The sequence below is a fragment of the Homo sapiens genome, chromosome 3, assembly GCF_000001405.40.
Source record: "Homo sapiens chromosome 3, GRCh38.p14 Primary Assembly".
NCBI lineage: Eukaryota > Metazoa > Chordata > Mammalia > Primates > Hominidae > Homo > Homo sapiens.
This window is the reverse complement of record NC_000003.12, coordinates 194,649-222,172: the sequence shown is the minus strand read 5'-3', so window position 1 is coordinate 222,172 and position 27,524 is coordinate 194,649. Positions and strand designations below refer to the sequence as shown.

General features: G+C 39.9%; 1 protein-coding gene and 1 long non-coding RNA gene across 20 annotated transcripts in view; one reads left to right on the top strand and one right to left on the bottom strand.

Moving 5' to 3' along the window:
• The window catches only part of CHL1 (cell adhesion molecule L1 like), a 212,655-nt gene extending 187,245 nt beyond the window's left edge, over window positions 1-25,410 (bottom strand). For 6 of the 18 annotated variants that reach the window (NM_006614.4, XM_017005572.2, NM_001253387.2 and 3 more), the window contains exon 1: window positions 25,110-25,410. The gene's annotated coding sequence lies outside the window, so the exon portion shown is untranslated. Of the gene's footprint in view, window positions 1-4,472; window positions 8,970-24,080; window positions 24,285-24,804; window positions 24,867-25,109 lie in introns of those variants that run through there. The other 12 variants (XM_006712938.2, XM_011533296.2, XM_011533294.2 and 9 more) reach the window with 3 other exon arrangements.
• CHL1-AS2 (CHL1 antisense RNA 2) lies at window positions 24,832-26,415 on the top strand. 2 transcript variants are annotated; one of them, NR_144486.1, is made up of 5 exons: window positions 24,832-25,206; window positions 25,471-25,566; window positions 25,665-25,717; window positions 26,133-26,177; window positions 26,259-26,415. It is a non-coding gene; the product is annotated as a CHL1 antisense RNA 2 (long non-coding RNA). The 2 variants fall into 2 exon arrangements; NR_144487.1 differs by lacking the exon at window positions 25,471-25,566.
• Window positions 26,416-27,524: the final 1,109 nt, after the last annotated feature.

Genomic DNA, 27,524 nt, shown 5'->3' with positions numbered 1-27,524 from the left:
TGTTGGTTTAAGCCACTAAATTTGAGGAACTTGGTTATTACCATAATGGGAAACTAATACAAGTAATATAGCATAGAAATGTGTAGTTAAGAACTTACATTTTAATTTTGGGGACCAATATTTTGTACTTCTTTTTAGTTCATACAAAATATATGCTGCCTTTATTCTAATTACTTTGTAAGGAGATGAAGTGATATTATATTCATAAGCCTGAGTTAAAAGTATGCTGCTTCTTACAGAAACCTAAGTCATAAAATCAAACTTATGTCTTAAATGTAGTTATATTTTTACTGAACACATACAATATTTTTATAAATTGAGTCAATAAAGTACTAAGGCACAATGGATTAATATCTTGGATAAGTTTAGGTGTAGCATCTATGTTCTTGTTAACTTAATACTAAATTAATGATTTAAACTTTTCAATGGTGTGCACATCTATATTTCAATGGTAAGAACACACAGAACTGATAAGAACATTGGAAGGATTACATGAAATGCCAAGTACTGTTGATGCATAAGTCCTTGAATGACTGTTAAGTACTGAGGTGTTGCTCATGCGAATTCCCTCTACTTTTCCTCTTTTAAGGAACTAACTGGGTTGACTTTTTGTCTGGTCTTTCACAAGGACCATGATATTAAAAGTAAAAGGGATGAGATTTCTCTTAGATCTAAGCAAATGATTCTTTGAATAAGTGTAGGGTCTGCTACACATAAACACTCTAATAGGCTCACCTTTTAATCTGGAGCTGAAACAAAAGTTGATATCGATCTTCTGTGATAGTACTTGAACAACTGAGGGCTCAAAATGCACTGATTACTATAGTCTTAATTTTACAATGATGATTAGTGTCAATGAAAAGAGTCAAATTCTGTAAAATATTTGATGAGATTTATTCCGAGCCACACGAGTGACCATGGCCCATGACACAGCTTCAGGAGATCCTGAGAACACGTGCCCAAGGTGGTCGGGCTACAGCTTGGTTTTATCCATTTTAAGGAGAAATAAGACATCAATAAATGCATGAAACATGTACATTGGTTCATTCTGGAAAGGTGAGACAACTCAAAGTGGGTGAGTGTGGGATTTCAGGTCATAGGTGGATTCAAAGATTTTCTAATTGGCAACTAGTCCAAGGAGTTTATCTAAAGACCTGGAATCGATAGAAGGGAGTGTCTTGGTTAAGATAAGGATGGTTGTGGAGACCAAGGTTCTATCCAGATGAGGCCTCCAGGTAGTAGGCTTCAGAGACAATTGATTGTAAATGTTTATCAGACTTTCGAAGGTGTGGGTTAAAACATGTTCAACTTTACTAGCTGATGTGAAATTCCTCCTCTAAAAGGAGGTTATGCCACTGTCCACTCACACCAACAGAGCATGAGCGTTCTCATTTCCTAACACCTTCACAAGATTCTGTACTACATATTTTCATTGTTGTAGTCTAATAAATGATAACATTTTCTCATTGTGAGTCTTTTTTGTGATGGGATCTCACTATGTTGCCCAAGCTGGAGTGCAGTGGCTACTCACAGGTGCAATTATAGCATTCTACATGCATAGGTGTAAAATCCTTTGAATGTGAGGACTTCTTTGATATCTGTGGTGGCATGACAGATATCACAAAAATTATGCATGGACCTTTTTTTAAAAAAAAAACAACTCATCAGCTATCGTTAGTGTTAGTGTATTTTATGTGTGGCTCAAGACAATTCTTCTTCTTCCAATGTGGCCCAGGGTAGTCAAAAGGTTGGACACCCATGCTACAGCCTCGAATTTCCAGGCTCAAGAGATCCTTCCACCTCAGCCTCCTGAGTAGCTGGAACTACAGGTGCATACCACCACTCCTGACTTCACTGTAATGTTTAAAATCAGATCATTGAAGGTTTAATTTACATACATCACAATAACCAAATTTGTAAAGGTACAATTCAATGAATATTGACAAAGGTAGATGGGGTATTAATACCACCACAATCAGCACACAGTATTCCCATCATGTCAGTCGTCAACCACCCTCCCCAGTCTTTAAAAACAATGATTCTATTGCTATCCCTTCAATTTCACCTTTTCCAAAATATCGTATAAATGAAATCCCACAGTATGTAACTTTCTTTCACCTAGCATAATGCTTTTAAGAGTCATTTATTTTGTTGCATATATCAGTAGTCCATCCCTTTTAGATACTAAGTATTATTCAATGATGTAGATGAACAATTGTTTCACTGTGATTTCAATGTGCATTCCCCTGACTATTCATGAGGTTGTCTATCTTAGTATGTATTTTGGCCATTTGAGTTTTTTTCTGAAATGTGTTCTCTTTTTTAAAAAACTTTCATTTTAAGTTCAGGGGTACATGTGCCAGTTTGTTACACAGGTAAACCTGTGTCATGTGGGTTTGTTGTACAGACTATTTCATTAAGCCTAGTTCCCATTAGTTAATTTTTCTGATCCTCTCCCTCCTCCCACCCTCCACCTTCAAGTAGGCCCCAGTGTGTGTTGTTCTCCTCTAAGTGTTCATGTTTTCTCATCACTTAGCTTCCACTTATAAGTGAGAACATGCAGTATTTGGTTTTCCTGCATTAGGTCCTGCATTAGTTTGCTAAGGATAATAGCCTCCAGCTCCATCCATGTCCATGCAAAGGACATGATCTCATTCTTTTTTAATGGCTGCATAATAGTCCATGGTGCATATGTACTACATTTCCTTTATCCAGTCTGTTATTGATGTCATTGATGGGCATTTAGGTTGATTTTATGTCTTTGCTATTGTGAATAGTGCTGCAATGAACATACATATGAATGTGTCTTTTTAACATAATGTAAAAATTTATATTCCTTTGGGAATATATATAGTAATGGGATTGCAGGATTGAATGGTATTTCTGTCTTCAGGTCTTTGAGGAGTCACCACACTGTCTTCTACAACGGTTGACCTAATTTACACCCCCGCTAACAGTGTACTTTCTCTTCCTTTTTCTCCACACAACCTCACCTGCATCTTTTATTTTTTGACCTTTTTTTTTTTGACAGAGTCTCACTCTGTCGCCCAGGCTGGAGTGCAGTGGCATGATCTCGGCTCACTGCAAGCTCCACCTCCCGGGTTCATGCCATTCTCCTGCCTCAGCCTCTGGAGTAGCTGGGACTACAGGTGCCCGCCACCATGCCCAGCTAATTTTTTTGTATTTTTTATTTACTGACGGGGTTTCACCGTGTTAGCCAGGACGGTCTCGATCTCCTGACCTCGTGATCCGCCCGTCTTGGCCTCCCAAAGTGCTGGGATTACAGGTGTGAGCCAGTGCGCCCGGCCTACTTTTTGACTTTTCAATTATAACCATTCTGACCGGTGCGAAATGGTATCTCATTGTGGTTTTGATTTGCATGAAACGTGTTCTCTTTCTTTGCCCATTTTTCCTTTCTGTTGTCTTTTTCCTCATAAATTTAAAAAAGTATTATTTTGTTCTTTATGTCATTCTTTATATCACAATAAATCATATCATTTCACATAGATTTGAAAGTTAGCATCCAAAGCTTAAACTTTAATTTTTATAGAAGAAGAACACATTTAGCAGCACTTGACATCATCAATATATGGGCTAAAACTTAGGGCAGGAATTTGTGCTAAAGTCAACATAATTTATTTTCTATTCAGTAAACCTTTCAATGATCAAATGATTCCTTCTTTGGAAAAGAGGATGTGGGTAACATCTTCTCTACTGACTTGAGGAAACTTAAATATGATACACAAAAGTATATTAAGGAAAAAGATATCCAAACTCCATTTGATACCATTATCATGCCATTTTAATCAACACACATCATGCTTATGATCAATAATTGAATGGAAAGGGTCTTTCATCTTCTAAAACATAACTGCTGTAAGAATTAATAAGCAGGTTCTGTCAGTGCAGAAAGTATTCAGGAATTCTTTCTGCAAGAGCACACCCTCATCCAATCCAGAAGCTCACAAAATTTCACCCATCCCAGCCCTGAGGTCTTTTGGAAATCACCCAATCACTCTGCTATTAAGAAGCCTGAAAACACGTATCGTAAACCTTGTCATCTCACAACCACTTATTCTTTGATTGTTTCCTGTGGAGGTTTCCTGTGCAGGGGCTGTGGGTTATAATTTACAACAGCCCCCAAAGCACCCATATCATCTTAATAGAAGTACAATAAATAAAATAATAAAACAGCCTTGCTCATAAAATCCCCTTTATCACATCCTCATTCAAGCCTAAGCTGTTCTTATCTCCCTTGCGGAATACCAACTGGTCCTCCTCTCCATTGCAATCTACTCTGCATGCAACAGCCAAGGTTTGTTTTGTTTGTATATATAAATATATATACATATAGACACAAATTACATCAACTAGCTTAACTGTTGGAATTCCTTTGAAGTTCCTATACTGCACTTAAATCCATATTGTTGTCCATGACCTACAAGGCCTTATGTGATCTGCCCTAAGCTCACCTTGTGCCAGCTGGTTTCTCCCACACTCACTGCACTGCAGGTTCTAGCCTTCTGTCCATTCCAGATGGGGCCAAATTGATTCCTCCACACCGCCTCTCCACTTGCTTCCCCTCTGCTGGGAACTCTGCTCTTCTGGCTCTTTTCCTGTTTGCCTTCTTCCCTTTCTGGCTCAGCGTGAAAGGCACCTTCTCAGATAATCCTTTCTAAAGTAAGTTTCTCCTCCCATTTTTTTCTATCACAGTCCTTTGTTTCTTTCCCGTAAAGATTTATTTATTGGCTAACATTCTTAGTAATGGCAACTCTGGGAGGGCAGGAAATCTGTCTTCCTCACAGTGCCTGGGATTTGTTCGCAGCTCAATAAATATTTGATGCATGAATAAATGAACCAATGGCTTCTTAGAATCAGAGCTACACATGCACACACACGTATACACATATACCCTTTGCTTGGAGAGACCTGTTTTCTTTCCCTGTTTTGTATCTGGGAGCACAGCTGCAACCCCATGGGTAATTTTTTTTCTGTTATTGTTCTTTTTTCAGCATGAATCTATTAATAATCAAACCAAATTATTCAGGAATTGCACAGAAGGTAATTTCTTCCCCAATGCACACAGGACCAAAGGGTGGGGGAAAATCAAGCTACTGAAAATTTCCTTCCCCTGCAGACTTTTAAACTGCTAATCAGCACAAGCAGCTTGTAGCAGACTGAGCACAAAAGGTTGCTGAAATGGCACATAACTAATTCCAGGTGATTTAATATCTTATGCTGCCTTAGTGAAAATATTGACAAAGAAGAACCACATGATTTGGAGTTTTTCTGCACTGCTGAATTCAGTGTTAGCTTCTGAGCCTCTATCATGGCATTTCCATATATCAGCATTGCTTAAGGAAGTAAGTCTGGGTGTGCCATCCAGAAACCACTGCCAAATTGGAGAAATGCTAGTTTTCTGTTGTGATTGGCCATATTTAGCAGCCTCTCTTAAAAATGTAGAGTTCACTTTGGCCATGGCATCATATGCCTACAGAAGAAATAAGTCTACCAAATATATTGCCAATACCCATGGGTAGTTGGCAGTGATAGGAGAAATTTGAAGTTCAGATACTTTTGGTAAAGCCACATCTCACACAAGACATCTGTAAGCACAGACTTTTTTTAATAGACAGGGTTGGTGTAGAGTTGACTCTCCTAGGGTTCAAAGGCTAGTCTTTCATTCATAAAAGTATTCTGGTACAACGTTTCAGAATTAACTCTCAGCTTTATGAAAGAAAATGTTCATTTTAATTCTCCTGATCACATTAGAAAGAATACACAAAAGTGAAGAGACTTTTTCAATTGTCACATAAGAATGTCAAAGTTAAAATCACAGGACAACAAAAAGGAAAGAGAAAACTATAATATTTAGAATTATTCTGTTAAACACCCTTAAAGATATAGTTTCTGGTTTTTTGAGCCCAAACTGCAAATACCAGTAAGACAATATCCCCCATAGCACTTCAATTTAAAATTGTGCCATCAAGACATCAGCTTTAAAATACTATCTGATTAGTTTTATCCCTTTTAAATACAGTGGTATTTTTTACACATCAATTTTTGTTTACATTTTTGCCATATTTTGGCAGCCAGGTTTGTATCACATTTTCTTATATTTAAAATATTCCTAATAACATATATATTCTCACTCAGAACATTCATTATGCCAATTTCCAATGGTTTAGGCTTGCAGTTGGCAAATTTGATGAAACTGACTGATTTGTGGAACCAGTAAATAAAACACTAGTGGAAATGCTGAAAGTGAAAAAATTCAGAAATCACAAAATGGTAAACTCAGAAATAAATTTCACTATTGAATCATTCAAAAGATACAATGTATCTTTCCCAAAAGTCAGGTTGTAAAGCTCTTGAAAGAGATGCTTCAATGCACAGAGCCATTTTATAATTAATCACCTAGCATGTAGTCAAGAAATAGATGTCACTTTGTAATGCAAAAAAAAAGAGCAAACCCATGACAATTTTTGAATTGTGTTTTTAATTGATACACAATAAGTACACACATCTATGGAGTACATCATAATGATTGGATACATGTGTACATTGGCTTTCGCATATCCGTCTCCTGAAACATTATTTCTTTGTGGTGAGAACTCAGGATCCTCTCTTCTAGTTATTTGGAAATACAAACTATAATACTGTTTACTATAGTCACCCAACTATGCTATAGAACACCAGAACTTATTTCTCCTGTCTAATTGTAATTTTATGTCATTGACCAATCTCTTCCTATCCTCCCCTCCTTGATACATTCCGGAGTCACTAATAACTCTGTACTTTTGTGACATCAGCTTTTTCAGACTCCACAAATGAGTGAGAACGTGGGATATTAGTCTTTCTGTGCCTTGCTTATTTCACTTAGCATATTGTCCTCTAGATTCATCCATGTTACCACAATGACAGGATTTCATTCTTATTATGGCTGAGTACTATTCAATTGTGTATATATACACCACATTTTCTTTATTCATCTGTTGATGGACACTTAGGTTGATTCTATATCTTGGCTATTGTAAATAATGCTGCAATCAACATGGGAATCTCTTCAACATAGTATCTCTTCAACATATTACTTTCAAGTTTTCATTTTGCTAGCATGAGAATGTATAGCCTAAGAGAATGGATTCAACACAATTGATGTGATGAAGATTTGCAAAAGAGCAGTTACGTGTGTGTGTGTGTGTGTGTGTGTGTGCACGTGCACATGCTAGGCATTTCAATTCTCAGCTTTATAATCTCTAAATTATACCTTGTCACTGTTATCTCATTAGGCATACATAATTAATCTTTTCAAGGAATAATTCCAGAAGACAGAGTTATAATATTTCACATCACTCTAACTATTGCTTTATACTCTCTCATAACATGAGGACTTATTCCTATTGAACTTTTAATAAGTTATATCTTCTGTATTTGTAGATATAAGTGAAAAATCTACAGCACTCATAGAGAGGGATACATTATGTAAGGGCTATCAGAAGTAAGGACATCTACTACTAATTAATACCAAGGGTATTCATGTCTATATCTTTCTAAAAAGTGAAGTTTCTTAAAATTATAAATGTAATTAAAATGCAATGTATAAAATAGATTTAACAAGTCAAGTCAATTATTTAAGCATTTCCATGGCCAATAAGAAAATAATATTGATAACGTAGCACGTAACACTGATGTCTCTTAAAAAATGTAGGAAATATTTTCACTTGAAAAATGTAGGAAGGTTACATGAATACAAGAGTTAAAAGATCTGATATTTCATAGTCAGATCCTAATATTTGAAGTCATTATTACTTTTCTCTTTTTTTGTTTCACATGCATATTGTGTCTAGAGAATAGCCTTACCTGAGTGCCTAGGACTGAAAACCAGGCCCTAGAAGGGATCAGTGGATGGAATTAGCAGTACTCTGAAACGTAGAGAAGAAATTAACGCAGCTGAAAAGTAAGGAAGGAGCTCTGTTTTTCTGCTGGGATCAGCTAATTTCTTGGTCGTCTCACAATCGAAAAGCACCTCAATAGATTATTGGCACCAAAGAGCCCTATGATGATACTGGATATCACTGCCTTCCTCAATCTTTCTGTGAAGCGATTAAGCAAGCATTAGGTTGACTCCCCAAATGTAGTTGTAGTAAAGGTATCCATATTCCACCTATGTTTGGCTTTCTCTAACCTGACTCAAATTAGGGAGGGCTCCTGTTTTATAATATGTGAGGAAGCCTTTCAGAACTTGAGACAGGTATTTAAATCACATTTTTTTCACATCAGAAAGTTTTTTCAAATGGTACTAGATTATGAACATGTGGAAAATATTGCTAAAAATTAATTGCTCATTAAATTGGGCTTGAACACTTATTTTGCTTCAGAGAAATAATCATTGCAATTGAATGTCTTCTTTGCAATGCAATCTCTTCTTTGCTTTCCAAATTCTACCTCTTTCCTAATGACTTTTAACAGTGCACAAGCTGGAAATAATCTTTCTCTATTCTAATCTCCCATAAAACATTATCTATACATTCGTATGGCATTTTTCATCCTCTATTTTGCATTATACTTGAGTGAGTTCTTTAATTAGATTGGAGGCTCACAACACTTTGAGAGTTCCAGACCTCAGAAAAGGCATTTAGGTCTATTTTAATATTTTATGGGCATATATTCAGTGGTAACAGTAAGCAACTTCAGGCCAGAAAGTCTATCTATTTCATCTTGGAATTCACCTATCCAGCAGTGATTTTCACTCAGCAGGAACTTCATAAATTTTCATTTAATGTTCATATGTGGGAACAAAACTGGAGAAGGAAAGAGGAGGAGCATGATGAATTTTTCTTGAGTTAGGCTGCATCTCCTTGAACAGTCTATCAGCGCTGAAATGATCCTAGATGTGTTCTGAGCAGGACATAGGTGAACGCATCATGGGAATCAATTCTCTGTGAATTATTTTTCAATTCTTCTTACTATAAAAAGTTGAAAGTCTCAAGTAGGTGTTAATAGAACATTAATAACAATTTAACTTTTCTAATCTCCCTATTTTATAAGACAGAGCAGGGTTCAAGCCCAGAGTCTGGGGCAGGCACAAATATCTACCTAAAATGCAATGACTTCAAGTTGCTTTCATCATAGTAACGTTTGCTCTTACTTTTCATTGTTTGCCGTTGACACTGGTGTTTCATTTAAGGTAATAAATAAAACCTTCATTTTAAGTTAGTATATTTTGTTAGTAAGCCAGTTAAAATCTTAAGTGAATTAGAATTTGGCACAAAGATATGACACAAGTATTGAAGATGGTGAGTTTAGGGGAATGTCTTCTCAGAGAATTGGAGACTGTCGAATGGCTGGTTGTTTTAAGAAGAAAAGACAGCAGGAACTGTGTGTGAAAAGACAGGAGCTTTGAGAAGACAAGAGCAGTGAGCTGTTGAGTCAAAGGAGAGGGTCTCTAAGGATACAGGGACGGAGAGGGGAATAATGAAGGCTGACTCCAGCTGAAAGTGGAAACGAAATGTGACAGTTACTTGGCCTGCAAAGCAGTAGGGAGCCAGGGGAAATTTTCAGGAAGTAAGTGACATCATGGTCAAAGTGACAAGCAAGAAAGGGGATTTTAGCGGTGACATGTAGATCTTAGTGGAGAAGAGTGACTGTTCGAGGCAGAAATCCAGTGAAGGAAAGGTTGCAGGTGTCTAGTGATTAGAAGGCTGAACAAGGAATTTTCCAGAATGGTGAGTGAAGAAATAAATCTCAGTGTATTGAGGGGAAAGTTGAAGCAGGCTTTATGGTAGTGTAAAAGCAGACAAAGGACATACATAGAGTATAGGAAATGGTAAATGGCTAAAGCAAGACTGGTGAACAGTCTTGCTTTATTGCCTGATCATAATAAAAATGTATTATGCTATATAAAAATAGACTATGGAAACATCTGAGAATTGATTGGGTTCCAGAACCCCCAACAAGTTTTTTTTAATGCAAACTCGTTGTAGAAACCTCAGTTTATTACCACCCTTCTCAGCTCATTCTCACCACCAGCCTCTACCACTCTGCATTTGTTTTCCTGAAATCTAAAACGGCAGAATTTAACATATATAACATTTTAGGTTATGTCATGTAAAAATAAAACTTGTCCAGAAGATTGAATTTTCTGAATAAGTAACTTTTTATCGGTGGCTAAATGACTTGTCATTAAAATAACTTAAGACAAAATCAGACATCCGAGTTCCAGTTCCACTCCCACACGTTTGTTCCATTGGTTCCACTGAACTTCGCTAAAGAGGACTGATACCTATCTTGCTTAAATAGCTAGTTACTGCAAGTATCAAATTAAATAATATATAGACATTGTATCTTTCATTCAAAAGCAATTTATAGTATTACCAATACAGAACTAAATTCATCATAGCACAGCATTTTGGGGTTGTGTATATCGCATTTTGCCTGTTGAAGTGTTTTTGAAATATGAAAACTACGGTGCAATACTTTATAAGTGCTTTTTGGCAAGACTGTGAGGGGAAAACATCTACTCATGTTTGTCAGAAGGATGGGATAATGCTTCAGAGGTAGAAGAATGATAGTATGTATGGTTCCTAAGCGTGGAGAGAAAAATGGCTAAGCCACAGAAGGAAGAACGTGATGGTAGGATCTGGAGAAACAGAGAAGTAGAAGCAATGAGAGCACAAATTGAACCCACACCAGACATGGCAGCAGTTCTTCATCCACTTTCAGAGAGAATTTGGAGAGGAATAAGCAGCTCAAGAAAGCTCTACTGCTGTCTATCCTCACCCTGCATCCTACTCTGTGCTCTCATAACACTGCAGGAAGATGTGAGAATAATGGTACTAGCCACACGCTAGTCTCCTTTCCATTTGCTTTTGAGAGTTATAGGTATAGGAGCTCTGCAGCCCGATGTATCATCATTATTTCAGGGCAGAAAGCCTGCTTCCTTTTCCATTTGTGGCTGTAATCAATAAATAGAAGGAAATGCAGGAGCTCTTTTCTCTCCCTCCTCAAGAGTGAAGCCTTGAGTAATCTAGTCAGTTCCTTGTTTCCTGACATTTGGGGTTCACCGTGGCCCTTTTGACTCTGCTAAGATACTCCTGGTTCTCTTAAACCCAAGTCACTTCCCAGATAAATGGAAAAGAGTAAGGATAAACCTAAATAGATCAGAGGAGAAAAGCATCCGAAAAGCCCACCCTGCTAAAGAATCTTAGCCAACAGTATTCTCAGCCAACTGGACGCCTCCTTCCTCTCACTTTTATTCTCGCTCCAGACAAAACCAGGGCACTTCAGCCTTGCCAAAGTTCACTCTCACATCACTCTTCTTTCTCACAGTCATGTGGGTCTAAGATCTCTAGGAAGTGTCGGGAGGGGGAAAGGAGTGTTCCCTTGGAACAGAGGGCTCCATATTTTTTCCCTCTTTGTAAGCAGTCACATGGTGAGTGAATGGTGTATCACAATGGGTTTAATAATTCTGTTAATTAGCATGTCTTTCTTAATTTGTATTTCTTGCTACCTTGTCTGCTAGAAGTTGGATGAGAGTTTCCTTTGAATCTGAACGGTCTGAGGACTAGCCTTTAAGTTTCCAAGTTAGATTTTTAAAGCCCTGAGTCACTGTGTGAAAAGTCCAGTGACATTTCTGGAAGGACCAGGAGAGAGGCCCTGTGACTACTTGGACAGAAAGAGGGGCCCAGCTGAGCTCAGCCCTCCTTGCCATTGCATGGGTCATGTGAGGGAAGCCATCCTGGGGCCACCAGCCCACCCCAGCCACTCTCTGAGATACCACCATATTACCTCAGTTGTCACCAAATGGGGCAGAAGAAATCACCCAGCGGAGCCCTGCCTAAATTCCTCACCTACAATTCATGAGATTTCATAAAATGTCTGTTGTTTGAAGTTACTGTTTAAAGGTATGAGTTAGTTTGTCATTCAGTGATAGGTAAGTGGAAAAATGTGCCTTCACATTTTACACAAATTGTTACTTTGCTACATTCAGAATATTTTTCATCATTTCTCCCCTTAGCTACACACAAGCTTTCAGGTACTTTTCTTCCTAATAACAAACAGCTTGTGTATATCCCTACAGATACCCCAAGAATCTCATATGCAAAACACATATCTATTGAGGTCTTAAACAGTTTTAAGCCATATGGTGAATTCCCCATACACAATTAAACAAAACAAATGATGAAAATAGCATGAGCTCAACTTCAAAAGTCAATGGAATGGTGATGGTATTTACCAAACAGTCTCCCTAAGTGATAGTAATAAAAAGTATACTCTGTGGCAAACTTGGAATGGGCAATACAAAATCCTATCTGTAAACAACGGCACCTACCTTGGATCATTATTAGTGCATTGCTTGTAAAAGAAACCGTTTAAAAGATTTGGGTTCTGTTCAATGAGAACACTTGGACACAGGGTGGGGAACATCACACACGGGGCCTGTCGTGGGGTGGCAGCGGAGGGGAGCTAACATTAGGAGATGTACTTAATGTAAACGACGAGTTAATGGGTGCAGCACACCAACATGGCACATGTATACATATGTAACAAACCTGCACGTTGTGCACATGTACCCTAAAACTTGAAGTATAATAATGACAAAAAAAAGATTAGGGTTCTGTTAAGAATTTGTATTTAACATTATTGAACAACTAGACCACTAGGAAGGATTGGTTCCATAAGATTTTCAGATAAATGATCTGAACTCCTATAGGTGGTATGTCAATTTATTTTTTATTTTAAAATAATTTCTTAATGACTCAAGATCACCCATATAGTCATTTCTGAGTTGTCTTTTTCTAGTCTTTCTATCCCTCTCTCTTGCGGAAGAAATATATTAAATGTAACTTATTTTGTCTTAGAATGAATTTGCAAAATTTCCCTCATCTGCTCCAACTTGCAGTTTATACTTTGTCATCTGCTGAAATAATATAATTATGCATATTAGAATGGTTCTAAATTAAGAGCAAATAGTCACTGAATTAGGAAGATCTTTCCATAATCAAGTGTTTACATTTTAGTGAATTTTTGCCAAGAAAGAGATCTAGGTTGCTTTGAGGCTTCTTTTGTTCAACTTTTAGATATTGGCCTAGCATTTGAATACCTGAAGTAGCTGTTGAAAGCTGAGACATCTCATTATAGTCATTTATTAACTTTATATTTTTTTACTTTTATTTGCAGTACTGAAATAGCATCAGAGGAAAATAAGCATTGTTTTGGCAATACGTGAGAAATATTTACACTACCCTGTACCATCTGATATTTTAGGACATCTATATAGATCAAAATAAATCAGATTGAAAGGATTTAATATCATATAATGATAACAGTAATTACTAACTAAGAAACTATCCTGTATAATTCAAGGTCTCCAGTTTTATTTTTTAATACTTTTGGACATGGGATAGCTGCAGAATTACCTCCATTTTCCACTTCGGTTTTAGGAGTTAGTTGTGAACCCCACCCTCACGCAGGTACACACATAAAACCACCCAAATAAACCAGTTTCATTAATGGTACCATATTCAAATAACCAAAACGGATACTGGAATGCAATCTTCAAAGATAATAAACCACAATGTAAATCTGGTTGAATAAAGGCCTAGAACCAAGCCTTCCACTCCCTTCATAAGGCACAGAAACAAAAGTGTAGCTCAACTAGTCTCCCACTGAGGATATAGTCTAGCTTTCTGCCGAGACAATCAAACAACCCAAACCTAATATTTCAATGAACTTGGGAAATGATGACACACTCCTTTCTGTCTCTCCTCACCAGTTCTGAATTTGGAGGGGCAAAGGAAGTGGAATGCATGCTTAATTGAGGCAGTAAATACTAGGCTGTGGCAGATTGTTTTACTGTTAAATACAGTAATGGGTTTTTAAGGCCTGCTGTCCAAAATTACACTGCAGAAAAAATGGTTTATTAGTAATAATAATAGCTGGCACCTTTATCTTCAAAGCACTTTATAAATATTAGCTCATTAATCCTCCAACTGCCACTGGGAGGCAGCAGTCAATGTTTCTTTCCTCAGTTTACAGCTGGTAAAACAGGAAAACAGAAGCTCATTACAAGTTTTCAAAAGAAGGTCTTGTGTATGGAGATCAATTTCTGATCCAAACCACTCATACCAGTTTTTATACTTGATTGGATGGCATTCATTCTGATGACTGCCAGCCCTTTTTTTGAGGGGACAGTGGTTAAGGTCAAATCCAATTTATTTGAACTTGACTCAGAAGTGTGCATGAGTTGCACCTGAATTGCTCAGTGCTTGGTCCTTTAATGTTATTTCAAGCAAATCAATTGTGTTCAAAATCTATTCAGCCCAAATCAATTACAAGCAGAAACTTGTATGCATGGGAAGAGCAGACTGTTGAAACCCTTTGAAGTTTGCTCCTCTGAGAATTGCTAGAGGTCACGAAGAAAATGGGGTCAAGGTCAAATTTAAACAGGCTTGTTTTGGCTATCTTTATCCATTCACTCAGATCTTCTTTATGGAAAATAGTATATGTCTCAAATTAGTGAACAATAACAAATAACGCAATATAGCCTATTATTCATGCAGATATAGGTGATAGATGTTAAAATTGTTATTGCCTATATGTTTACCCTTGTGGGCAGTGTTTTCAGTTTTTTGCCATTGTATGATGCCTTAAGCATTCTTTACATCTTTAAATTTTAATCAAATGCATGAATTCTCCACTATGTCATCAGATGCATTTTACAGAACAAGTTAGAAAAATCCTTGAATTTACAACACAGAAATAAACTTACTTCTTGAGAAGCCAAGCTGTGTATTCCAGAGAAGCAGGTATGGGTCAAACAAAAGCTTTATAGAAAAGCCATTGTGTATAATCCAAGGAAGTGGGATCTCCTGTCTAGCCAAAGCAGGAAACAAACTTATTCTTGCCACTTTCTAGTACACAAAAAGGAGCCTTTTGGAGCCACTCAGCATCTGAGAATGCTATTTATATTATGCATATCTTAAAAATACATGAACATTTGCTTGTAAATATCCCAAACAAAAAACTCAAAAATCTCTTAAAACTCCCAAATATATTGGCTGTGCCTGAAATAGAGTTGCCTTTTTTTCTTCTAAAGCCTTATCTTTATTGACGGCTGCTAATAAAGACAGTGCCATCATTATGATCGGTGTCATTTTCAAGCCGTTTTCAAGAACAGCAATGCTGAGATATGGCATCTGCCATTGCCAACGATTTCTATTTTAATCTGGAATAGCAGATACTCACACCTTTGTGGAAATGCCAACCGCGAAATGCAATTGGTTACATATAATACCCAGAAGTGAGGGAAATCCATGCGTATTCATATCATAGAGTATCAGAAACATTTCTGCCAAGAAATAAACAATGATAATGAGAGTGAAGTTTCATTTGTACATATAATGATGCCCAGGGTCTGGTACAGGAAGAGTCAGACCATTAGACGCTTATATGACTTGATTTTGGAGAGAACACAAATGTCTCCTCCCTGTAACCTCCAACTCCTGGGCTCAAATGATCCTCCCACCTCAGCCTCCCAAGTAGCTGGGGCTATAGGCATGCCCGACCACACCTGGCTAATTTTTATTTTTATTTATTTATATATTTTTTGTAGACATGGAGTCTTGCTGTGTTGCTGGTCTTGAACTCCTGGCCTCAAGTGATCCTCCAGCCTCAGCCTCCCAAAGTTGCATTAAGATTTTTTTTTAAGACAGTCTCGCTCTGTCACCCAGGCTGGAGTGCAGTGGTGCGATCTAGGCTCACTGCAACCTCCGCCTCCTGGGTTCAAGTGATTCTCCTGCCTCAGCCTCCTGAGTAGCTGGGATTACAGGCATGCCATCATGCCCAGCTAATTTTTGTATTTTTAGTAGAGACGAAGTTTCACCATGTTGGCCAGGCTGGCCTCAAACTCCTGACCTCAAGTGATCCACCCGTCTCAGCCTCCCAAAGTGCTGGGATTACAGGCTTGCACCACCACCTCTGGCAGGTTTTAAAACCTCATATTTAATGCCACCATTCCTGGAATAGGTATGCATTATCATCTAATACCTCAGTAGGATTCCTTTATGTCTACTTTTCCACAAATGGATAATGGGACACAGAACAGGTAAGTTTGGATGGACAACAGGAAAGAGTGTTAGTCCATAGTGAAGACCATAGCTGGAGAATCCTGCTAATCGAGGGGGCACTGCTGGGGCTGGAAATCAGACACTTCTGAGTTTGAATTCTGACTCTGGTACTGCAAGACATATTGTGTGACATTGGACAAGGACCCTTCTGTGTCTGCATCGCCCAGCTTACATTGGGTGTTATAATAGTACTTTCCTCAAATCACTGATGTGGAGATTGCAAAACACATAATAAACACTTGATAAATGATCAATGGTGGCTATTTAAGTATCTGCCTGGCACAGTTTCATTCCTGTCTCTAGCACAAAGTGGCGATCAATAAAAGCTTTTTATAATGACTGGTCACAATGCCTCATAGGACCCACACATACACGTGCGCGCGCACACACACACACACACAGACACACACAAACATAAGAACATGTATTATAGAATTCAGGATGCTTTGGAAAAGTCTATCTCCCTATCTTTGGCCAGGACTACGTTCAACTCTCAAAATATAACTGGTAACATTTTCAATTTTTCCCCTAGACAGCTCTCAGTTTATACGGTGACTCTAGATTTCCTTAAAAAACAATTCACTATCAGTTATACAATGTTGCTCTTTTCTTCCAAAAAAGGAAATCTGGGCTGTGTAAGGTGGCTCATGCCTGTAATCCCAGTACTTTGAGAGGGGCAGGTGGGAGAATCACCTAAGGCCAGGAGTTTGAAACCAGCCTGGACAACATAGTGAAACCTCACCTTTACAAAAAAGATTTTAAAAATTAGCCAGACATGATGGTGCCCGTCTGTAGTCCCAGCACTTTGGGAGGCTGAGGTGAGAGAATAACTTGAGCCCAGGAGTTCGAGGTTGCAGTGAGCGATGACCATACCACTGTACTCCAGCGCTCCAGCCTGGGCAACAGAGCCAGACCCTATCTCCAAAAAAAAAAAAAAAGAAAGAAAGAAAGAAAAAGGAAAAAGAAAACCTGAAAGCAATAGAGTGGGCTATGAACTGGGTTACAAATTAGGATATCTAAGATGATTTAATTCTAATTTTCACTACTGTAGGCAGTGTGGTGGAATAGTGGTAAAGCTAACTACTTGACCTTGCATTAGTTTTTTTCATCTATAAAATGGGCTAACAACCTGTTTCTTTTTGTTCACTATGTTATTGTAAAAGTCAGATGAGATGACATGGAAAAATTTTCTAAAAAGCATAAAGCACACAAATAATGCAAGACATTATGATTTTTTTTTAAAATAGAAATCTTCAGAGGCAATCTTCTGAAAGGATGGAAATGCAGCATCCAGTATCAGTCTTGGAAAAGGTCAGTATTTATCTTCCCCCTGAACCTTTTGCACATGAGACGTGTTATTTCTTTTGAACATAACCAATATGTAAGGCATCCCATAATAAGCTAATATTCTGTCACTTTACAGTTTTTAGCAAGGTTTTCAATGCAATAAAAAACCGAACTTCCAACAACTCTAACCGCAACAGATCATCAAAATCCCCACATTCCTTTTATCCACTTACATTCTATTACTCTGGGAAATACATCTCTTAGTCCCTGGAAATAAAAATTCCTCACATTAAGATGCAACCAGTGCATTCTGGTCTATTCCTTCATCGTCCTTGTTCTGATACAACTATAACAAAGAAGAAGGATACTTCCTCCAAAGATCCAGGCATCCAGGTTACATGAGTTTCAGCTGCCAGACTGACATTTGAGTGTATCTCCGCTTTCCCAGGCATCATAACTACAATCCCTCCCAGGAGAATCACCACTTACAGCAAAAGCTTTTGTTAGGGAGGAACCTCTGCTAAAAATGCCAACCATTACCATAGAAGCTGGAATACATCTTTTACATTATTCTCTCTGCTATGTCAGCTCTCATCTTAGAAAGCATAGATAATGCAATGAAATGGACAAATTTGTTTTGAAGTTTAAGAGTCCCAACTGAAACACACCACTGAATATGAGCATGCCCACTTCGGGCAATGAAAGAAAGAAGAAAGGAATGACAAAGAAAAAGTGGTGAAGATTCTCCTGAATACAAACTTAATGATTCCCTATTTTGTACTGTTTTTGTCAATTCTAGCTTTCCCCTTCCCCACTACTCACGTTCCACAAATGTAAAGCCTTCAAGATGTGCTAGGTATTCCTCACGTACTTCCCAGATTCAGATCCCTTTTCTGCCTTCCTCCATCCTGCTCTGCTCTGGGAGAACTGACCTCCACAAACCACTACAATAGGCTCCCTTGCCGTCTTACTGCCTTGCTGAAGAAGCAACTGGAAATCTTGGGGTAGAAGCAGAGCACTGTCTTGTGATTTGACAGTAGTTATGTTCCTCTACCAAAAGCCATAGGTCCCACGTGACAGCCCTCTTCCAGAGCTACTGCTCCCACCTCCTTCCAGGAACTTCACCTTCCCATTATCCCTTCAGGACAAGGGGCAGTAACAGCTCCAGATGTGCTTCAGCAGCCCTTGTGGGCTTCCCCTAATCCCATCCAAAGAGATGTGGGCCCGTCTTTAAGGTCCCTTAATTACCTCTTTGGAGTAGGATCTATATAAAAGAAAGGAACAAAGTGAAGGTGAGAGGAAGCCATGTTTTACCCAGCGAAGATATGTCTTTCAAGAACATCAAGGGGACAAACCACTGGGTTCTAACCTGTGGCATTCTGCCACCTGGGCATTCAGGTCCAATACTGTGAGAACATCAATCCTTTTAAGATAAGCCAGAAATATGAATTTTACATGAAATCTCCAGTATTTAAATGTTGGCTGAAATTTGTCTTAAACATTCTTTGGGCCAAATGAAATATTTATACAAGCGGTGTTCAAAGTCCAAGGGACATTGGTTTGGCTCCTATATAGACTATGGTGCCTCTTCTTAGAAAGAAAATAAAAATCTGTTTTTCTTTACACTGCACAATTATAACCAAAAAAAGGATGAAAGTCTCATTTTTAAAGCTTTTTCTGACACAGTACTTTAGTCCAAAAACAATAACTCTCCCTACCTCATTGGAAGTCTGCAGGCAAAACAGAGAAATATTCAAAACCCCAAAGTCACAGGAATCTTGTTATCTGGGCCTGTTCTAAATGTATGAATCTAGTCAAATCACTTAATTTCAGTGTAGCTCACTCCATTCACATTCATCTGCAAATCAGGATAATTACTTCTTTCCTACCATCTTCACAGAGACATTTGGTTGAAAAACGAAATTATACACAGTAAATGAAAAGCACATTTGAGATCTTCAGAGAATAAAGTGCTATTTAAACCAAGAAGATTAGTAAGAAAAACCTCAGAAGTTTGCCAGAGCATTTTTTCTCTTTCAGCCACATTTCATGACACCAGGGTGACTGTGAACCAATGCCTTAGCCCAACACAATCTTGTGGACGGCGTACGCAAATCTAAGGTGATGGTTCTTAACCAATATTGGTACATTAGGGCGTGTTAGAATCGCACTAGAAGTTTTCAAAAATCCAGATTTCTAGTCACCATCCACAGAGACTGTAATTGAATTGATTTGGGTTGGTAGCTTTACAGAACTCTCCAGACGATTCTAATTTCAGCCAAGCCTAAGAACAACTATTGCGAAAACCTTTTAAATATGTGAAGCAATCATTATTGGTATATGTGCATATAATTAATGTAGGAATCAACAGTTTGCCATTTGACACCACCATTGATCATGGCTCACAGTTATTCACATACACAGGGATACACACACACATACGCTCTGTCCCTCTATCTTTGTTCATTCACATACTGAACATGATATAGAAGGATAATTATCACTACAATAAAAAACCGTGCTACTAATCTGTCTGCATAGATTGCCCCATACAATGTCCACAAGAACACATGTGACATGTGAGCTAAGTATGGCTATTTCCCCGTTTCTAAAGAAGAAACTAGTCTTAGAGAGGTCAACATGACTAAGCCAATGCCACACACCTGCAAGCTGACAGACTTAGATTTTGAACCCTGGCAGCCTGACTTTTATAGCCAGTGCATGTAACCACCACAACAGTTCGCTTCCTGCTGTGCCAGACACTTTAAGAGTTTATGAGATGCATAAAAGGAAATGTATACCCTCAAGGAGTTTACAGTCTGAAAAGGAAATTGTGATGCACACTAAAATTCATAGGTTGTATAGGAAAATGGCACAATTGTAGTCCCTGGAGTTAGGAAGAGGTGAATCAGAAGATGGGCAACAGAGCTCCTACCTCCACAACTATAGGGGAAATAAGATGCAAACAAACATTAGAAGGGAGAATGTTATAAGACTACCAGGAGAAGAAACCCTGGTCAAAGCATAAAATATAATTATATATTGACCAAGTTCAATGCATTTATCATTCTTATCATCATCTGCCAGCATCATTTGATTCAGATATTTATACCCACCCTAAATGTACCAAACTGTCAGTTCAATTAGCAAACTATGAATTTTGAGAATTCATCTCACCTCAAACTCTAGTTGTGATTCTTATTGAAATTATGTATATAAGCATCACACACACGCACACACACATACACATATACACTCACACACACTTCTAATAATTTAACTTCCAAAGAGATACACAAGTTGTATTCTTCACTAGGAATAAATTATGTGAAAGTGAAGTCAACATTTCAGGAAAATGCCTTAAAATTGAAAACGGAATATGTCCCTTTGTATTTTTATGATCTAAACACAATGAGAAGGTAAGCAGGATCATTTTTTACCCACAACACATAAAATCTCAATTAGTTATGGTCTATTTGTGCACTGACTTAAAACATTCGTTAACGAAACAGAATTTTCTAGTTTACTGGATAAATATACCAGAAATGGCAGAATAATGTCAGGTTGCCAAGCAACCACAGCTCTACTCTACTTTGTGATCAATCCAACTCATTCATTGAGCTTCCTAACCCAGTGATACAGAATTCCAACCAATTTGTTTCTTGGGAAAATTATAGTGACTTTCAGTAACACAATAACACTTTTATTCTCAGAAGATAAACTTAAATCCTTTTTGATCAAAGGGATGTGTTAATTCATTATTCTCTACGTGGTGCTAATGAGAAAGCTATAATTAACTAACTACACTATTGCGACACACATAAAATAAACTGCAGTAATTAGTAATGTTTAAGGTGTTAAGCAGCCTCCCAAATTAGAAAATACAATCTTTCCTCAGATAAAGATGTACAGAAAAAAGAAAGCAGCATATCTAATTAAATTGAGAATTGTTTCCAGTCTCCCCCAAGGGGTGAGAGGAAAGGCATGTGATCACCAAAATATAAGAGATTTCACTTTAATAGCAGAGAAAAGGCTCAATGCCAATTCTACTTGTAGATAGACATAAAATGATAGCGAATAATGTAATCTTTCTTTGAAAGAATGCTTAGCACAATATTTTTCCAGGAACAAACAGAAAGAATATTATGCTTTCACTCATTAGCTGTGTTAACTTAGCATATTGTATGTAAATGACCATAATAATTGCATTCTCTTCCGACTGAATTAGTCAGAATGAAACTGTAATCAAAATGTTCATAATTGAAAATATAGTATTCTCAATCTTGGTTTGAAAAAATAACAAGGAACGTTGACTGAATCAGATAATATAGTACATCACTGAAAACAACCTCAGTACAGAGACAAGTTCATTCTCTTGATTATACCTTTGCATTTCAATTAGGTCCCCAAATTCAGAACTCAACACCTCCCAATCTGTCATGTTTTCCTACTCTTACCATTTGTCTCTGGACTAACTTAAGCATTCCAAGTGCATTGCTGCTAGATTTTTAGGGAAAATAGAAAATGGTGAAAAGCTAATTTTATTGTTTCTAAAATACATTAGACTCTATTGCACTGTTGGCTGTCATAAATTAAAGGGCAAAATAATTTCCAATAAATGAAACATTTAATGCCAAAGCTCCTGGGAAACAATATGTAAATGATCACATGAATTTCAGAGAAGCTGTCACACTAATTCCTCAAGGTACCTTTTAAAGATGACATATTCACAGTGAGGATGAGAGGGTTGTCTTGCAAAGCCAAACACTGCTACCTGAAGTAATACTCTCAGTATTTCCTGACAATCATTCCTTCAAATCTGACACCAGTAGTTCCCCAACTATTACTTAATTTTCTTTTATCGGTTAAAAATACAAGAATCTTAAATCAGTCTTGATCGTTACCCTTATTTTTCTATAAAAGCGAATCAGGCTAAATTATTTCAACAAAGCAATTTTGGGGCAAATAACCTCCTATCTTCAAAGATTTCAGAAGCAACTATAAAATCAGGTTTCTATCTAGCAAATGTTTTTCTGGGTGAGCTCTATTTTGTAAAGGTCACTAAGGATCTTTGTGATGGTGACATCTGTCAGGCTTTACTTGCCTCAAGTTCACCAAGAAATGCCTATATTTTAATAATCAAATGATTTTAAAAATTTATTTAAAACCAATTCATGTAATGAGATGAATTAACTTAAATGCAATAAGTATAGTATGTGCAAAATCAACTCCTCTTAGACCTACAGCTAGGCCCACGAAGTGTACAGTGTACTTATCAGCAGATAGGTTGGAGGACCTATATAACCATGAGGAATCAATAAATATCTATAGCCGTTTCTTTGAAGAAAAGGATCCGTAAGTCTACATGCAACAGATAACAATCTGGGAAACATATATTCATCATCATAGTCTTGTGCTGCAGTGAAGTGGGTACAAACATACCCTGAAAGAGATTTTAATGAGTTGCCATAGCCAGTACTCACACCCATCCAGTAATAACTATTTGTCTCCATTGATTTGCTCACAATATTCAGGAGCTTGCAAGGAATGATTATACACTACGTTCTGCCATTACTAAAGGTAAATCCACTGCAGCACTTAAGGCCATAAAATGGAAAGCCAGGGTATACATAGGCTCTGTAACCACGTTAAATTATGAAAGCCAAATGGTGGTCCCTCACAAAGAGACTGAAATTAAGACAAACCCAACTGCAACATCTGCAGGTGAAAGAGAAAACACAAAGATTTACAAAAGAAAAACTCTGGGATAAACTTTTTATTTTCTTGTCACCAAAAGTTTCCCCAAAGAGCTTCCTAAGCTTCTCTCTCCATCAATATACTGAAAAGCCAACTTCATCGGCAGTTGATCAGTTTCTCTCTTCCAATCTGCTGCAAGGCAGAGCTTCGTAGGAGTTGGACTGTGCAGTACAAATATTCATATTTTAATTAAGATTATTCTCCAAAATTAGAAAACGCAGAATTTTTACTTCAATGAAAATGCAGAGAAATGAAAATGCACCATATGTAATTAAACTGAGGATTAACTAACAGTAATGGCATCAACGACAATAACTTTTGAGTGCTTATTATGCATCAAATATGCATATGGTGTTAAATTTAAAAATCTATGGTGTTAAATTACTTGTATCATCTCATTCCAGTCTTGCAACAACCCAGTATAGAGGGTATCGATAATCTCCGTATTATTGAGAAAGGGAAACTGAGGCACGTAGTTAAATGCCTAGTCCAGAGTGACGCATCACAGTGATGGTGGAGCTGGAATTCGAAGCCACGTGGGCGTCCCGGGAGCCTCCGCCTAGAGCGAGCCCGGGGGGCCCACCAGTTACCATCGCCACGCGCACGCGCAAATCTCCCCGCGCACGGCGCGTTCCCGCGGGAGCGCGCCCTCGCGCACGCGCCTGGCAGGGCAGCCGCTCGCCGGCCCTGGGGCTGCTCCGCGGCTCCCACGAGCGGGACTGGACGCCGGCGCCCTTCGAGGAGGGGCTGAACCTGGGGCGCCCTCTCTGCCGGGCCACCCAGCCCTGCCGACGCACACCTGCCCTCCGCCGCCGGCCTCCCACCCCTTCCCCGCCCGCCTTCCCGCCCAGCAGCCCAAACGCCCACCCTGCGCTCCACCCTGCTGGCCGTCTGGGGCGGGGGTACCTGGGCCCGCGCGGCTGCTGCTCCTCCGGCCCGTGGTTTTTCGCAGGAGTTCCCCGGCCCTGCCCCTGGCTGAGACACTGTGGCTCGCAGCGAGCCCGGAGAGTGGGAACGGAGGGGCTGGCTTTCCCCAGCCTCCCGGCTCCAATCCCTGCTCCCCAAATTAATCACTTTCTCCGTGCTGCCTCCCCACGCACACTCACACTCCAAAAAAAAAAAAAAAGCGAGAGAAAGAGAGAGGCACAAAGAGGAAGAAGGGACCATCCGCGACCGGCATCTCCAGCCCCCCGGGCTCCGCTACCAGGAGCCATGGCAACCACGGCCCCCGGCGCGCCCTCTCGCCCCTCGGCGGTCTGGGGAGGTGGAGCTCTAGCCCCTCTCTGGGTTTTCGTGCTCCCCAACCCCACAACCCCACGGTCCATGGATTCCCCGCTCCAGGCTGGCGGCATTTTCGGAACCCCCCCCGGGCTGGGATCTAGAATCCTCTCCTGAGAGGAGGAGCCACACAGGGGCAGTGGACTGGGGGGGTCTGAGCCCCACACACCAGGCGGTGTCCAGGGGAGCGAGGGGCGCGGTGGGAGACAGAGGCCGGGACTGACCCCCAGACCAGCTAGACCTCGGAGCCCCACCCGAGAGAGGGCGGAGATCTACGGGGGGGTCTGGAATCCTCCTCAGAGAGCAGCGAGGGATGGGGTGGCGGAGGCTGGAAGCGGGAGGGCCAACCTACCGGCGGCCGGCGGGCGTGAGTGGGACCCGGCGGATTCGGGCGCCCGGTGTGCTCCGTCGACTGACCCCGAGCTGTCCGAATCCGGCCTCGGCCACCGGGGGCGGGGCGTGAAAAGGGGGCGTCTCCTCCCGGGTGCAGGCTGAGGGGCCCGGACCACCCCCACTGCGGACGAGGGACCCTGACCGCGCCCCGCTTCCTTTCCATAACGAGTGGACCCCTCCCGGAGCACCTTCAGCCCTTCCTCCACGGGAGACCCCCCCAGCGCCGGCACGAGAGATGCCAGCGGACCCCCACCCCTGACACACCTGCGCCGCCTCCGAAACGCGATCTGTCCGGCGCCTCCCCTCGGGCGCCTTCTCCCCCGAGCCGGCCGGGAGCCGGGACGGGGGCGCGCAGGGTCCGGTAAGCTCTGGGCGGATCCAGGGAGGGTCTCGCCGGCCGCTGCCCGCTGGTCCGCACCCGGGGCTGTCCGCGGAGGTCCCGCCCGTCCCCTCCCGCCGCTGGCTCTCTGGCCGCGGGAAGGCTGGAGCCGTTCTGGCTGGCACCGGGGTCTACGCCCTCCTGCCGGAGGCTGGCTCTCGCCTCTGCTCCCTTCCTGGGTTCTGCGCCGCCACCCCTCACCCACGCCGCTTATCTTCCCTCCCTTTGCACGCTCCCGCGGGACAGGGAGAGTTACAGGCTTCAGACTTTATCTCGTTGTGGAAAGCAAGAGACCAAGCCAAAAACTTTGGTCGTGCTTTTCAACATCTCCGGTCAAAAGAGGTAGGATCCCTGCTCGTTTATCTGCAAAAGCGACATTTAAAAGAAACGCCCCCCACCCCCTCCCCGATGGTTTCACTCGGTTCATGTTGCACACACAGGTCGCCAATCTGCTTTTCTCCCATTGCTGCGTCTTAGAGGGGTGTGGTGCCATGTACGTATTAAAAATTGTCTTCTTGCTTTCCTTCATTTAAGGGCGTGGTGGGGCTTGCTATTGAATTTACAAAATATGCTACGACCATCCGCTGTCAAATTGTGCATGCTTAAATTTACAGATCTTCTACTATCTCACAATTTTTGCCCTAATACAGAGTCTATAATGTTACCACATCGTTTCGTAACGTTTTTCCTACTTATCCTTTATTAATTCACTATTGGAGAGGAAAGCCTTCTGTACTCATATTCAGTGCAAAAAGCCAGTTCTGATGCCTTATGAATCCACAAACACATAAAAATATTTTAGGATTCCAAAATTCATATGGAAAAATTATAATTTTTAGCACTACATTTGATTTATATGCCACTTTATTTTTTTTCCATTATGGTGGTATTTTCCAAAATTTTTACAGGATACCACTTTTGAAAATCCTGTTGAATGCAAGTCCTCTTTGTTGGTAAGAGAATTATTGACTTCTAATTTTTACTCCACTAAGGCTGTGAGATTGACCTTACAGCCTCGTTTTGTTTTCATCTAGCTCATTGAACAATGAGGATATTTAGCTCCCCTCAGAGCTACCCTCAGAGTTGGATGAGCTATCCTCAGAGTTGGATGCCACCACCGGGAGCAGCAAAAGCGAAGGCAACTCATGATTCTGCCTCAGAAGCAATCGAATAAAATATTTTGAAAATGAATGAATGGACTTTTAAATTTTAATCATCGCTAACCTTGGGGCCTCGATTCTGTCAATTTGTGTGTGGGCACAGTTCTTACCAACTGCCTTGGCAAATTGTGAATGCAAGTGAGGGCAGGATTTGTCCTAAGTTTAAATTGTACTGCTGGAGTGATTTCTTTTGCCTGAGGCATCATTATTCACGTGGCATGTTTTCTAAAGTAGAAACAAAGATAGAATATTAAATAAAATTCCAACAGGGGGAAATACTCTGCCTGTAGAAAAACATTTCCAAGGTCAAGGAACCACAAGAGAACAACAAAGCGAAGTTGGTCTCAGGAGTTTACCATCTTCTGGGTGAACAAACATCAGCTGAGCAAGGGACTCGGAACTCCATTTTGGCCAGATGAACAGAGTACTCTTAAATATATAGCTCCTTCTTTCTTGGTGATTTGTTTCTTGACAATAGAATCATTATTTACAAAACAAATATTTATTGAGCAGCTACTATTTAATCAATCACTGGTCTGGGTGCTGGGCTCAGTAGGAAACTCAATAGGCATGGCCAGTAGCTTTTTAAAAAATCAAATACCCTCCAAATATATTAGACAGTACCAAGCCACAATACCCAAAACAAGAAGATGGCCAGTTCTTAACTATGAGTTTTTAACTGAAAGGGAGATAACATTCTTCTAAGCTTCTGGCATTGCATATAAATGAAGAAATAATAGCCACACATAGCTTACTAGGGACAGTAAGGAAGTCAGCTTGTATGCAATACACGTTATCCCAGGCAACCAAATTTTACGAAAGAAAAGAGGGAGATAGGGAAAGTCTAGGGAAGGAAAAAAGGGAGGAAGGAAGGAAGGAAGGGAGGAAGGATGGAAAGAAAGAAGGCCAGCAAATGATAAACCAAGAAAGGAAATCGTACTTTTTAAGGCAATGCAAAAGGAAGACAGATGACCTAAATTTCTACATCCAAGAAACACCTCATAGCTGTCGCTTCCAAGGATGAGTTCATATTTTTGATACATTATCAAAAGCAGGCAACACATCTAGGCTTGCCTGGCCCCAGGAATTCACAACTCTACAGCCTGAGCTTCCAGTAAGGCTGGAACCAGAAGACAGTCC